The 12,906-nt window shown below is 36.0% G+C and overlaps 1 protein-coding gene and 1 long non-coding RNA gene across 6 annotated transcripts in view; one reads left to right on the top strand and one right to left on the bottom strand.

Moving 5' to 3' along the window:
* The window catches only part of FAR2 (fatty acyl-CoA reductase 2), a 186,339-nt gene that overhangs the window by 17,649 nt on the left and 155,784 nt on the right, over positions 1–12,906 (bottom strand). For all 5 annotated transcript variants that reach the window (NM_001271783.2, XM_011520748.4, XM_011520747.3 and 2 more), the window contains 5 exons: positions 10,133–10,310; positions 8,738–8,782; positions 6,822–6,940; positions 6,018–6,085; positions 956–1,127 (listed from right to left, as the gene is read on the bottom strand). In NM_001271783.2, coding sequence (NP_001258712.1) covers positions 956–1,127; positions 6,018–6,085; positions 6,822–6,940; positions 8,738–8,782; positions 10,133–10,310 — 582 coding nt within the window. The remainder of the gene's footprint in view (positions 1–955; positions 1,128–6,017; positions 6,086–6,821; positions 6,941–8,737; positions 8,783–10,132; positions 10,311–12,906) is intronic.
* Positions 120–12,906, top strand: part of FAR2-AS1 (FAR2 antisense RNA 1) — a 37,434-nt gene continuing 24,647 nt past the window's right edge. Inside the window, exons 1-3 of the long non-coding RNA NR_103860.1 lie at positions 120–260; positions 8,065–8,197; positions 9,924–10,118. This is a non-coding gene — a long non-coding RNA (FAR2 antisense RNA 1). The remainder of the gene's footprint in view (positions 261–8,064; positions 8,198–9,923; positions 10,119–12,906) is intronic.

The following is a 12,906-nucleotide window of genomic DNA, read 5'->3' as shown; positions in this document are numbered from 1 at the left end:
AGCACACTGTGTTCCCTCTAATTTCTTCACTCATCTCTAGGTGGCAGTAAATCTGGTTCCGAATACTGACTTTGAGACTCGGCTTTCTCCACATCCTTCCTGTCACTTCCTTTGAGACTAATTCAGATTCTTTCCTTAGCTTCTATTTCCCCATTTGTAAAATTGGGATGATGAGGACATCTTCCTTGGGTAGCTGTGACAATGAAAATGGGATCATCATGCATCAGCCTTAGCCCCACGAGTGCCACAGTAAACTCTCAGTAAGTGAGGTTGTCATCATTATTGTATATTTAAGATTATCTACCTATTCAGAAAACCCTAGTGACAGAGTCTCAATTGCTTTTCTTTTCGCATGAATGATTACTTGCTGAATTCATCAACCTCTTTAACATTTACCTTCCTTTATTGTGCTGGAACATTTTTAATGTCTTTTGTGGCTTCTCACTATGACTGCTTTGTTCAAAACTTATACAGGTCGAGTATCCTTTATGTGAAATACTTGGGCCAGAAGTGTTTTGGGTTTTGATTGTTTTCAGATTTTGGAATATTTGCATATATGTAATGAGCTATCTTGGGGATGGGACCCATGTCTAAACACAAAATTCATTTCTGTTTCATACACACTTAGCCATATACACAGAGCCTGAAGGTAATCTTACATAATATTTTAAATAATTTTATGTATGAAACAGTTTTGAATGTCTTTTGACTGTGACCCATCACATGAGGTAAGGTATGTGGAATTTTCCACTTGTGGCATCATGTCAGCACTCAAAACGTTTTGGATTTTGGAGAATTTCAGATTTTGGATTTTCAGATTAGGTGTGTTCAATCTGTATATATGGGTAAGATTCAGTTGTCTCCTTTAATCCTCGGCTGAAGGAAGCACTAAAGATTTTGGGGCCTTAATCTCCCATGCAGTGACACTCTCAAAGCCATTGACTCAGCTTCTCACCTGGGCTTCCTTCCAGTGAGCCGCAGATAGCAGTCATAGATAATGGCAGGGGCCCGGTGGCTGACCGCATTCCAGTACTGTGATGTGAAGCTGTTGCTGGTAAAATTAGCATTTGGCCTCCTGAAAGGTCTCTCAAATGGGATTTTTTCAAAGGTTGCCAAGACTTGGACTCCTGGGGAAAAAAGAAAGTAAGTGCTAGAGGAGAAAAGGAGAATATAAGTCCATCATAGTGGAAAGCATTTGTAATGGGTCAAAACAATAAAGACGAAGGATTTGCTGTGTAGAGTCAAGAATCAATTTCTGAGAACAATATAAAGATTTTTGTGCTGGGCAAATGGTTATCTGCAAACTGAAACAGTGTGAATGGGTTAATAATTGGATTCTTTAGTTGAAGCATTTACTGTAAAACAAACTATTGGGGAAACACTTGTCAATACAAGGAGGTACTGTTCAGAAAAACATGAATCTGCCTTTAATTCTAAGGTCATCCAGTCTATTCTGAAAGCCCCAAGACAGAGGCGAGAGACCTTATTTCCCTGGCTGGACCATTACTTTCAGAACCATTTAGAAAGTTTCTTAACATTTTATTTGAATCTTTATTAAAGGTTTAAGTAAAAGATTGTAAAGATTCTCAAGGCAAGATTTCTTTGTGTTAGTCTACTTCAAATACTTCTCTGGGAATATGTTAGACTCAATTGTCCACTCTGGTATCCAGAGTTTTATTCATAATAGTATTTTTCTTTTTATATTATTACTTAGATTAAGCTTAAGAACTTTTTATGTACATTTGTGAATTCAGTAGTTGTTTCCAAAAGATATTCATTTGAATTCAATTTTATTTAATGTATGTAGGTTTTTTTTCAAAGCATATGCCTAAGCTCATTATTCAATTATGATGATATCACTTATTATGGTAATATGATTATTGCCCTCCTTAAAAAAATACCAGCTAAAATCTGTCTGAAAATATAAATCCTATACAAAGAAGAGTCTCAAGAATCACCTGGTTCATAGGCATTTATTGAAACATTTGTGGCATTATTAAAACATTTGGTTCTGATAGCGTAAGAGATTCTGATCTCAACACTGACATTCTGATGTATATATCCATATACCTGTTCAACATTTCCATCTGGATGTGTAATAGACATTCACATTTAACAGCTCTAAAATTGGCCTCCTGATACTCCCACTACCAACCACCCCCTTCCCAATGCATACACAAACTTGCTTCTTCACTAATCTTCTACCTCTAACCAAATGGTAATTCAGTTTTTTTAGTAGTTCAGCCAAAAACTTTGGGGTCATCCTTGATTCTTCTCTTTAACAACCCACACACAATTCAACAAAATCTATCAGCCTTCTGTTTGAAAAATACCCAGAATCATAATTTCCACCTTCTGTGTCTCTGATCCAAACCACTACTGTAGCCTGGAGTGTTGCAGTACTGTCCTAAATGGTCTCTGCCACTACCCTTGTACTCCTACAGTCTGACCTCCATGTGGCAGCCGGAGTGATTCTTGTAAAATGTAACTCAGAATATATTACAGATACTTCTCCATTCAGAGCCCTTCAGTGGAATCTCATCTCATTTGGAGGCAAAGCCATGGTCTGGAAGGCTTTGCACACTCTGCATCCTCACTCTCTCTGCCCACCACTCTGACTTTATCTCCTACCATCCTCCCCCTCAGTGCTTCTGCTGCAGCCATACTGGCCTCCTTGCTGTCCTTGAATATGATTAAAGAGCTGTAGCACTTATTGTTTCTTCAACTTGGAATATCTCCTCCACATGTCCCTCTGATTTGCCCCCTCACTTCTTTCAGGTCTCTGCTAAGATGACACCTTATCAGGGAGACTTTCCTTGGCCATCACATATAAAATAGCAGCCTTCCCACATCACTATTTACTTCTTTAGTCTGTTTTATTTTTTTGCAGTCTCTCAACCATATCTGATGTATATTTCTCCTTTTTAAGATTTAAGTACCATAACAAAATTTTGTCTGTTTTGTTTCAACCTATATAGTACCTTGAAAGTGGCTGGCAGGTAATCAGTGCCCAATAAATATTTTTTGAGTAAATGAATGAATAAATAGCTCAGCAACATACAATTACTTTCCATTTCCTAAATCCATACCAATCCTTCTTTTAGTCATTACAAATACATTTATTTAGCATTTAACACTTGCTAGGCATTGTGGTAGGTGCTGAGGTAAAAAAATAATAATAATATATATGATATATTCCCTGTCTTTAAGGAATTGGCAATTTGGTGGGAGGTGTGGACAGTTTATGATTGCAATATTTTGCCTGAGTATTCTGCTAGAGATCAGTGCAGAGTATTCTGCTCTGGAGGAAGACAAAAGAAGCCTCTAGCTCTGTCTGGGTGCCAGGAAGGGGAGGGGTGAGGCTGGGTTAGGAAAGGCTTTCTGAGAAAGCTGTCCAAATGGTAATAGCAAGCGTTTACTGAAATGTTCACCGTTCTAATCACTGTGCTAAGCACTTTATCTCATTAAATCCTCCCAAGAGCTCCCTGGAATAGAATAATTATTATTCTCATTGACAGATAAAAAAAAAAAAAAAGATCTACAGGGAGAAACTGAGTGACTTTTTCAAGTTGATACAACTAGTAAGTAGTGGAGTCTACTAAATGGTAGGACCCATACCAGCATATAACATCTGTGTGGGCATGGATTTCTGTTTAGTGATGTATCCATAGCCCAAGAATAATGCCTATTTAATGAATACAGGAGTGAATGAATGAGCTAAGATTTGAATCCAAGTCTATTAGATCTTAAAGCCCAAGACTTTTAACCATTAAGCTACTGTCTTTCTGATCTGAAGGACAAGTAGAAATTCATGCACATGTAGAAAGTTTAATTTGGCAATTGAAAACTGCACTTCTACATCCTCATAGGTCAAAGAAGAATTTAAATGAAAAATGCTTAATGCTTAGAGAGTAATAACATAAACATCATACAACTAAATGTGTGGGATACAGCCAAAGTGGCATTTGAGCGAAATATAAAGCCATAAATGCATGTATTAGAAAAGCCGAATATTCGTGAGCTATATTTCTAAGTTAAAGAGAAGAAAGAAATAATCAAAGAAAACAGGAGGAAGGAGAAAATAGAGATAAGGCAATATATCAATGCAGTAGAAAATGAAGCAACATAATAAAGAATCAATAAAGCCAGAAGTTGGTTCTTTGAAAAAAATAATAAACCCTTTGGAGAAGACACACAACTATTATGAATTAAAAGAGAAACATAATTATAAATACAGTTTAGGACAAAAAAATTGATGTAATGTGAAAAATTTTATGTGAATACATTTTAAAACAAATTATTAGAAAAAGAGACAAATATAATTTACTAAAACTGATTCCAGTAGAAACTGAAAGCCTGCAAAATTCTTTAACTATTGAAGCAATACAGAATCCTTTCACAACAAAATTACAAATCCAGATAATTTATAGGTAATTTTACCAAGTTTCCAAGGAATAGATTGCTCCAATATTACACAAACACTTTCAGACAATAGAAAACAACAAGGGAAATATTAGCAAACTGAATTAAACAGAATATAAAAAAGATAATATGCTATGACCAACTTGGGTTTATCCTAAAAATGGCAGGATAGTTTAAAATTTGAAGAGTCTCAAGAATCACCGGTTCATAGGCATTTATTAAAACATATGTGGCATTATTAAAACATTTGGTTCTGTGCATAACCAAAAGTTATGCACAGGTTGATAGCATAAGAGATTCTGATATCCCATGTTCACCGACCCAGCTGTCTGTCACTCCTTGTAATGTCACCTGAGGCTATGTATGTTCAACCTCCTATGGCATGGCTACTGCTCCTAGTAGGAAGCATTTTGATCCCTCTTAACCCTGGTAGGAAACACAAACTAATTTAATTTGAATGCAACATCAGATTAATTAGTAATATCTTCCAGAAATGCTATATTAGATGGGAATCTAGAACAGAGCCTTGGCACAGGAAGAAACAATGTTGTATCAGCCAACAATGTTTGCTATAGGTGTAAGAGGAGGAGAGAAAAATACCTGCATGCCAGGTATTTTCCATTCTTGGAAAAGCATTTTTCAATTCAAAGCCTATTATAAAATGAGCCACAGTGTCTAGCTGCCCTGCAATAGAACTCTCAGTGTGGCACCATGGCTTACCACTGGAATGTGTAGAGGTAGTGTTACCTATGTAACAGGGAAAGAAAGTGTGCATTAGTAGGTAGTAAGAAATCCTACAGAATAGCCAAACTCCCTACTTTAACTTTCTACCATCATTAGATGTTTAAGTTGTACTCAACTCTATTTCCATGGTTTTATACATTGAACAGATCCAATCCTTTACATTCAGACAGATCAATCATTTGTATAGTACAGGGTTTCTCTGTTTCACCAAGCATCAAGAATCATCTAGATGCTTATTAAACATATAGTTTCCTCAGCACCACCCAAGACCTTGGTCCCAGGGTTCAAGGAATCTGGGTGTTGTTTTTATTTCTCCCATAGTGCTTCCTATTCACTTTTACAAATCGCTAGTGGAGTGGTTATTGCACACCTGAGAGGCAAGCTGCATAAATTAATGATCAGTATGATGGACTCAATAACAAAGGATTAATATCACCTAACTTTTCTATCTCATTGGTCATTGATGATGTCGCATTCTCAGTGACATATCAAGAAGGGAAGGGGTGTGTGTAGGAGCCATTGCTCCAACAGGGAGGAGTATTTCAGTATTTTATCACTGACATTCTTTATAACTGCCAACTTTTGCTTTGTTTCATCATTTTTAAAATCGCTATAGCCAATGGACCCCTTACTGCTTACAATCTTGTACATGTTGCCACTGACTCCTTTCTTTGGTAACCACAGTACATTCTAGTTAACTATCACACATTTACAATTTCTCATTATTTTGTCTCTTTACTTACTTTTTGTCTTTCTCCCCATATAAGCTCTAAGCTCCATGACACACTTTGTCAACTTTTTCTCTGTGCCAGACACTAGTAATTATAGAGTTACATAGCTAAAGTACTTACCCATTTTGTGCCAATTGCAGGGATTCATGTTACCAGATGTAATGTGGTAGACTAATGTTGACTTAGGTCTGGAAAATGAAATAAAAATTAGATAAGTACAACAAAATAGAAAACTAATGAGAGAAAAATAAGGAAAAATAATATTTAGACAGAGTGGTTTCAGTAATTCATCTGATTAAGGCAACCTATGAAAGGCTTCCATCGTTCATTCTTTCTCTGGGTTAATAAGCAAAATGGAAGAAGACTAGGAAAAGCATGTGTGTGTGTGTGTGTGTGTGTGTGTGAAAGAGATGTTAAATAGGAGTGACATATTATGGAGTACATATATGTGAGTTCACATAAGAAAAATTTAATTTACTAACAGACCCAAATATATGAACAACCTATTTTTTTTCCTTTGTACCAGGAAGCTTCCCCACACATCGTGACTGAACTTTTGGCATTTACCAGAGTTCAATTAAAAAAAAATTCTGTCATTTCATCAGCTTCTATCTCCTTTGCCCTAAAAGAGAAAGCTGAATTTTAGACTACTGAATAGAAAGAAAAGCCTTTTGGTTATCAAGAATTTTATGGTTAAGTGATTTAAAGGTTTTATTACTTTATGAGTAGCCAAGTACTAAACTGTATTTATAAAACAACTCAATGCATATATGATGGCATATTAGGAACTCTATAAAATATTGAAATACGCACTTTCACACATTTGGGGTCTTGTACAATGAAATGCCTATATTTGGAAAATGGGCCTAATATATTCACTCTGCCCCTCATGAAGTCTTTGAAAGCCCACTTGAGCATCCACACCTGTGAACTGCAGTATACCATCCTACAGCTAGCATGAGATTGACGACTGTATCAACTGGAATTACGTCTGCCACAGCCATTGGAGTAGCTTTTATGGCCCGAAGAAACCCTTTCCCAGTCTGCATAGGAAAAAGAACATAAAATATTAAACCAGGTCTTAAATAATAGCTGGGGCTAAAGTATGTATCATCAAACTGGTTATACTAGTGCAATAAGTGAAAACAGCTAACATTGATCCACTGCTTACCAGGTTCTTATGCTAAGTCTGACTTCCTCAGCCTATCCTACCTTCCCAGCCAAGTGCATGCGTCTCCAGCATTTTCATGAACTACTAGTGTTCCTCACGTTCCTTTAGGGAATAAAATTCCTCAAATTTGTGAGAGGTTAATAAACTCAATTAACAAACACCAAGAATAAACTTTTACATCTTAAAAATTAATTCATAAGACATGTTAAGAATTAAGGTTATACAAATTTCCCATTAATTTTCCCATTAATATTTGTTTACCATTTCCTTGATGATTTTGTTTTCTGCTAGGGTTTATTAACTTACAAGCAATAGTAGGCACTAAAAGTTTAAGAAATACTTATTTGAAAAACATTAATTGGTGAAATTCCACCATTAATAAAAGAAAACTTTTTTTTTGGCTTGGAAAAATTGCCTTATTATTTACTTTTTATTCAGTATCTTAGTTCACCTCACAGATCACTGATGTTATATAGATGCAAGAATTAGGAATTATTCATGTTAATAATTGGTTGAGTTTATGAAATTGATTCTTTGTGCTTTGCATGTTTCCAACATTGATTTGCAACGATTAGCACTTTCTTATGTTACTCAGTTCTGTTTTCTTATAACTAGCTCCCCTTCTTTTGGACATAAGAAACCAATTTAGAACATTTTAGAAAATGTAAATAAATATGTAGCTTTGCATGTAATGAAAGCCGTTTTGGGATCACGTTAAAATAATGATGTTCTAAGTCACTAAACGTTCACCCCAACTGAACTTTTGTAGAAGAAAGAGTTGAAGGCAGGTGGGAAGCAGAAAGAAAGGGGCTGCTAGAAAAATCAGAAATCGGAAGGAAGATCTTTGTCACTGTTATAATTCACTGTCTCATATCTGTATTGCAATTCATGTTGAACCTAGTTCTGGGAGGAACAGAGTCAGAGTCTGAATCGCAGTCTAAATCCCTAATAAAATTTAAACTCATTTAGATCACTGATTTCCTATTCATTGTACAGAAGAATGAAGTGGGGTTTAGACCCTAAATGCTTCAGTGTGAGCTGTGAAGCCCCACAGCTTGGCTGGATCAATCTGGACTTCGGGCAGATGCGCACTAAGGGCTGCTTACCTAGAGGAGCCACGTTTCTCCTGGTAAGATATTATTGAAAAGATGTTGCCTATATTCATGGATTTTTGTATTTGAAAAATTTGCTCCAATTGGTAGTTCTCTTTCTTGTATTCATTAAAAATTATTGATGTATATCTCTTTTCTACACACGCACATAAACTCTTACATGTGTTTTATAATCAAGAATTTAATAATCTTTGAAGATATTTTTACTGCATCCTCAATTCACTGCACTAATTCATGAGATTATAAACTGCAAAAAGGAGGAAATACCCCCATCTTGTGGTAACTAAAGAAAAGTCCTTGATGCTCAAAGACTTCAAAAATAAAACTCCTAAATAGTAACTGATAGCACATTACCTCTGTTTTTCTGATAAAAAATTCTCAAAGAATAATTTCATCCTGCCTGTATATTACAATCAGAACAATTAAAATAATATGCCTCAGTTATTAGTAAAGTAACATTTATGTTTTTGGATCAATGAAGCTAAGCCAGCACTAAGAATTTTGTTACTATTTCTCTACTACATTTCAGGGAGTTATTTCTTCATCATTATACATACCGCAATAATGATTCCATTAGGTCCATTTATATTATCAACCCAACCCTAAAAGAAAGAAGATTTCTATTGGTTACACATTTCAGAAAATTGTTTTATCTTTGGAACATCTGCAGTCTAATCTTAATAAATTTCAAACAAGAGCACTGAGATCCCAGCCAATAGAACTATCTAATTCAGTATTATTAAGATCTCAAAAGATAATGGCAAAGCATTGGCCATTTTCTGTACTTTATTTGACTGTGCAAAAATTAGAATTTTGCCAGGATTGTTTTTCTTAGCAGGAATCATGAATGGTTTTGTGGTGTTTTATGACCTCTTATGGACTAAATTGGACCTTGTCCTTATATCATGATCTGCTAAGCAATTCACCAACCATACTTCTCCACCTTAGTCCTGATTTCAGCCTCCTTAGGAGAACATTGAAAACATGATTTGTGTTAATGGCCCATTTCTTAACATTTTTTACCAGCTATAGAGTCCATGCCAGATATATATACATATATATATATATGTGTGTGTGTGTGTGTGTGTGTGTGTGTGTCTGTGTGTCTGTGTGTATATTGACTTACTTAAAGATGTTACAGAGATTATATTTAAGAGCAGCTAGAGGGAAATGTGTTTTTAAGTTTGTTTCTTAAGACCTAAGCCATTCAGCTGACCTTATTATGTCTCTTTACGTTACAGTATAAAAGTCAAATGTGTGAGTATAACAGGAGAGGAGAGAGAAGAGAGGAGAAGATGAAGGGATTAATATTTGTTGAGCCTTTTAGTAGGGACCACTCCTCATACATTGTCTCATCAAATCAACTCTCCATAGTATCTGTCCTGTTTTATGGAAGGGACAACTCAAAAATGTTGCATTACCAGTAAGTAGTGGAGCTGGAATTTATCTACCCCAAAGCTTCACAGACTTGCTTTCAAGAAGATGGTATAATTCAAAGTACTTTCAAAAGGTCATGACAGTATACTGAGGTTTAAAAAAAATTAGTATTCCTAAACTGAGATCCTTCTGTGAGCTTTGAAACTCTTGTTTACCCTGGCAGTTGTAATACTACCAATTTGGCCATCAAGGACATTCTGGTATGCTTAAACTATAGTAGGAAAGCCAAGATATGAAACCATCACCCATGTGAATTTTGAGACTAGAGTAGTTAGAAGCTAATTTAAGCTCTCCGTCCAACTCTAGGGCAGTCAAGATAACTGCCAGAGGAGCCACATGCTGGGTAAATCCTGAACCCAAAGTGGAATTTTGCCCTAGTATAATGGGTTCATATTCGATTGGCTGCACTTAGCTATAAATCCTGAGGAGGAGAAGAAGAAAGACATCAGAAAGTAATTGGACTAGAAGAACCTTAGTTTGGAAGCAAAACACAGAATCCAGGTAAGTGGGCTTACTGGGAAAGGCTCCTGCCAAGTTGCTCCCACAATGGAGGGCCTTATGATGGCAATGTTCAGGTTCCTGCTCTCTTGCTGCACCACCATTTCTCCCAAGGCCTTGGTGTAGGTATAAATATTGGGCCAATCTCTGATCAGCTTGGGTGTAATCTCGTCAATAATAGCATCGTCTAACCACCTAAAAGGTAGAGTAAAGAGAATTCTAGTAACATATGTTAGACAATAAACCAAAAGGAAAATGTGAGACACAATCAAACAAAACTTCCACCTTTTAGCCTCGGTTCTGGAATTCAGAACAGTCACATGATACCAAGTTTGAGTGTGTACCTGCTCAAAGCATGCATGAGCTTTTTGCTCTTCACTGCTAAGCCCAATCTTATCCTATGCCCTCCCATCCAAACAGATAGGTAGGTAGGTAGGTAGGTAGGCAGGCAGGTAGGTAGATAGACCGATAGAATCAATAGCAATACTACTTTATTACGAATGATAGCATAGGACTATTAGTACTACTTTATTAGTATTACTTTAGCACTACTGCTACTTTATCAGTACTGATTACTACTTTATTGTAGTAGTACTAAATTAGAACTTTAGTACTATATTAGAGATTATTATTACTTTACTTCCTCTCTAGCAAGCTCATAAGTACACTCATTGAACACATATTTGAGTCCCAGTCATTCTCCCAGTAGTGTGCTGCATGCTGTGTTCAGGGAGTTAGAGGCTGTCATCCAAGGTGCTTCAGTGGCAGCCCTACTCAGTGTTGTCCGATAAAAATCCAGTGCAGTAATCCTGAAGCCTTTAGCTTTAAATTTTAAAAATTCCACTCAATGCAAATCAAATCAAAGTGACTACTTTTGGCACTTACAGTCTGTTTTAGCAAACCTATGTAATGCATTTTGAAGGTCTGTTTAGAGTCTATGCTAATAACTTGAAAATTATCTCCAGAGATTTCCAGTGAATTCTGAAGTCTGTCAAGTGGGGTGATTATAGTGCTCTGAAATAGCTTCAAAATCACGATTATTGACTACTCCTACTTACAAGATAATGTATCATGAATAACCAAGTTACCATAGCATCAGCCTAATCTTTCTTAAAAATATGTCAGAACCACTTGATAACCCCAAAGTCTATCTACACCTCTCTAAGAAAGCAACAAAAGTATTGTCAATTATATATTTAACATTCTTCTAGCTGACAGATCTATGTGGTTAAATCATTGATATAACATAGCTTTTTAAAAATTAAGCTGCCGAAATATGCTAGTGTGATTTTTCTAATCAATGTGGTATATTTATTTCTATTTTATAGAACAGAACAGAACTATACTATTTTGATTGTAGAAAATCTTCACTGTTACCACTTTGCTGACATGACAAATTTTTGAGCAGCTAAGATGTGCATGATGTTAAGACTTATTCAGAATCACAACTTTCAATTTTAATGCCTCATTTGATCCTGAGGTAGAACATGGGCATCGACTATAATGTTTCCACTTTTCTTGCTTTGCTTCTATTAGTGCTGAGTGTGTTCTGGATACTCAAATGTCTTTTTATTTGAATTGAATAGAGAAAGATTGAGGGGTTCTAGAATTAAAAACAACTTCAACTACATAGAAATATCTAGGATATTTTAATTATATGGTCACCTGGGGGCTGGGAAAGAATATAGGATGATGCAGACACCTCTCCATCTTAACAGTCCTACCACTATCTCATTTCATTTGGTGGGTCAACAGTGGATTGACTGACCTGAGACCATTTTCTCTCACCTGCAAAAATATATAGTTTATGAAAACCAGGTCTTGAGGGAATAAAGCTTAATTTCAATAAAGCTGTAAAAAAAAAAAAACCTAGGAAACATCAGAGCCCAATAATGTGCAGGGATTGTATGTCACATGGCTAGTACCAGTTGCTGTCATTAATGTTGGGGTACATGGAAAGGATAATATTTGGGGGGATAGGGGCCTTATAAAGCTTGGTGAGTTTGCTTGTCTTAGAAAATTTTGGTTTCGTAGATTTCTGACAGCACGCATGCAAGAAATTTTAATATTCTATAGATGACTTGCCTCTGCTACTCTCAGCTACACCTGTATTCCACTGTTTTATCTTTTCATTCCAATTGTACTTGTGAAAATGGCAATAATTATACTGATTCTAAATTCTCATAAGAGTAAACAGGAATATAAATTACCTAGTTCCAATTGTACTTGTGAAAATGGCAATAATTATACTCATTCTAAATTATCATAAGGGTAAACAGGAATATTCACAACTGCATTTAAGCTCTTTGATAAAACAAAATGAGCCAATAAACCTAAGGCATTGTTATTTTTTAATAAAACAACCAGTGAGCATGCATCTTTGTAGGTAATAGTTAGTTTTAAAGTGTCATTTCTGGCCAAGTGCGGTGACTCAAACCTGTAATCTCAGCACTTTGGGAGGCTGAGGAAGGAGGATCGTTTGAGTCCAGGAGTTTGAGACCAGCCTGGGCAACATAATAACACCCTGCCTCTACAAAAAAAATGTAAAAAAATTAATGGGGCATGGTGGTGTGCACCTGCAGTTCCAGCTACTCAGGAGGCTGAGGCAGGAGGATTGCTTGAGCTTGGGAGTTGGAGGCTCCAATGAGCCATAATTGTGCCACCATACTCCAGCTTGGGTGACAGAGACCCTGTCTCAAAAAAATAAAATAAATAAAAATAAAAATAAACAAATAAAACAAATAAAAATAAAATATCACTTATAATACAGCCAAACAGACCATCTGAAGCT

The sequence above is a fragment of the Homo sapiens genome, chromosome 12 (genome assembly GCF_000001405.40).
Source record: "Homo sapiens chromosome 12, GRCh38.p14 Primary Assembly".
NCBI classification, from domain to species: domain Eukaryota; kingdom Metazoa; phylum Chordata; class Mammalia; order Primates; family Hominidae; genus Homo; species Homo sapiens.
Note: the sequence above shows the minus strand (reverse complement) of the source record. Positions and strands in the feature narration are given on the sequence as shown.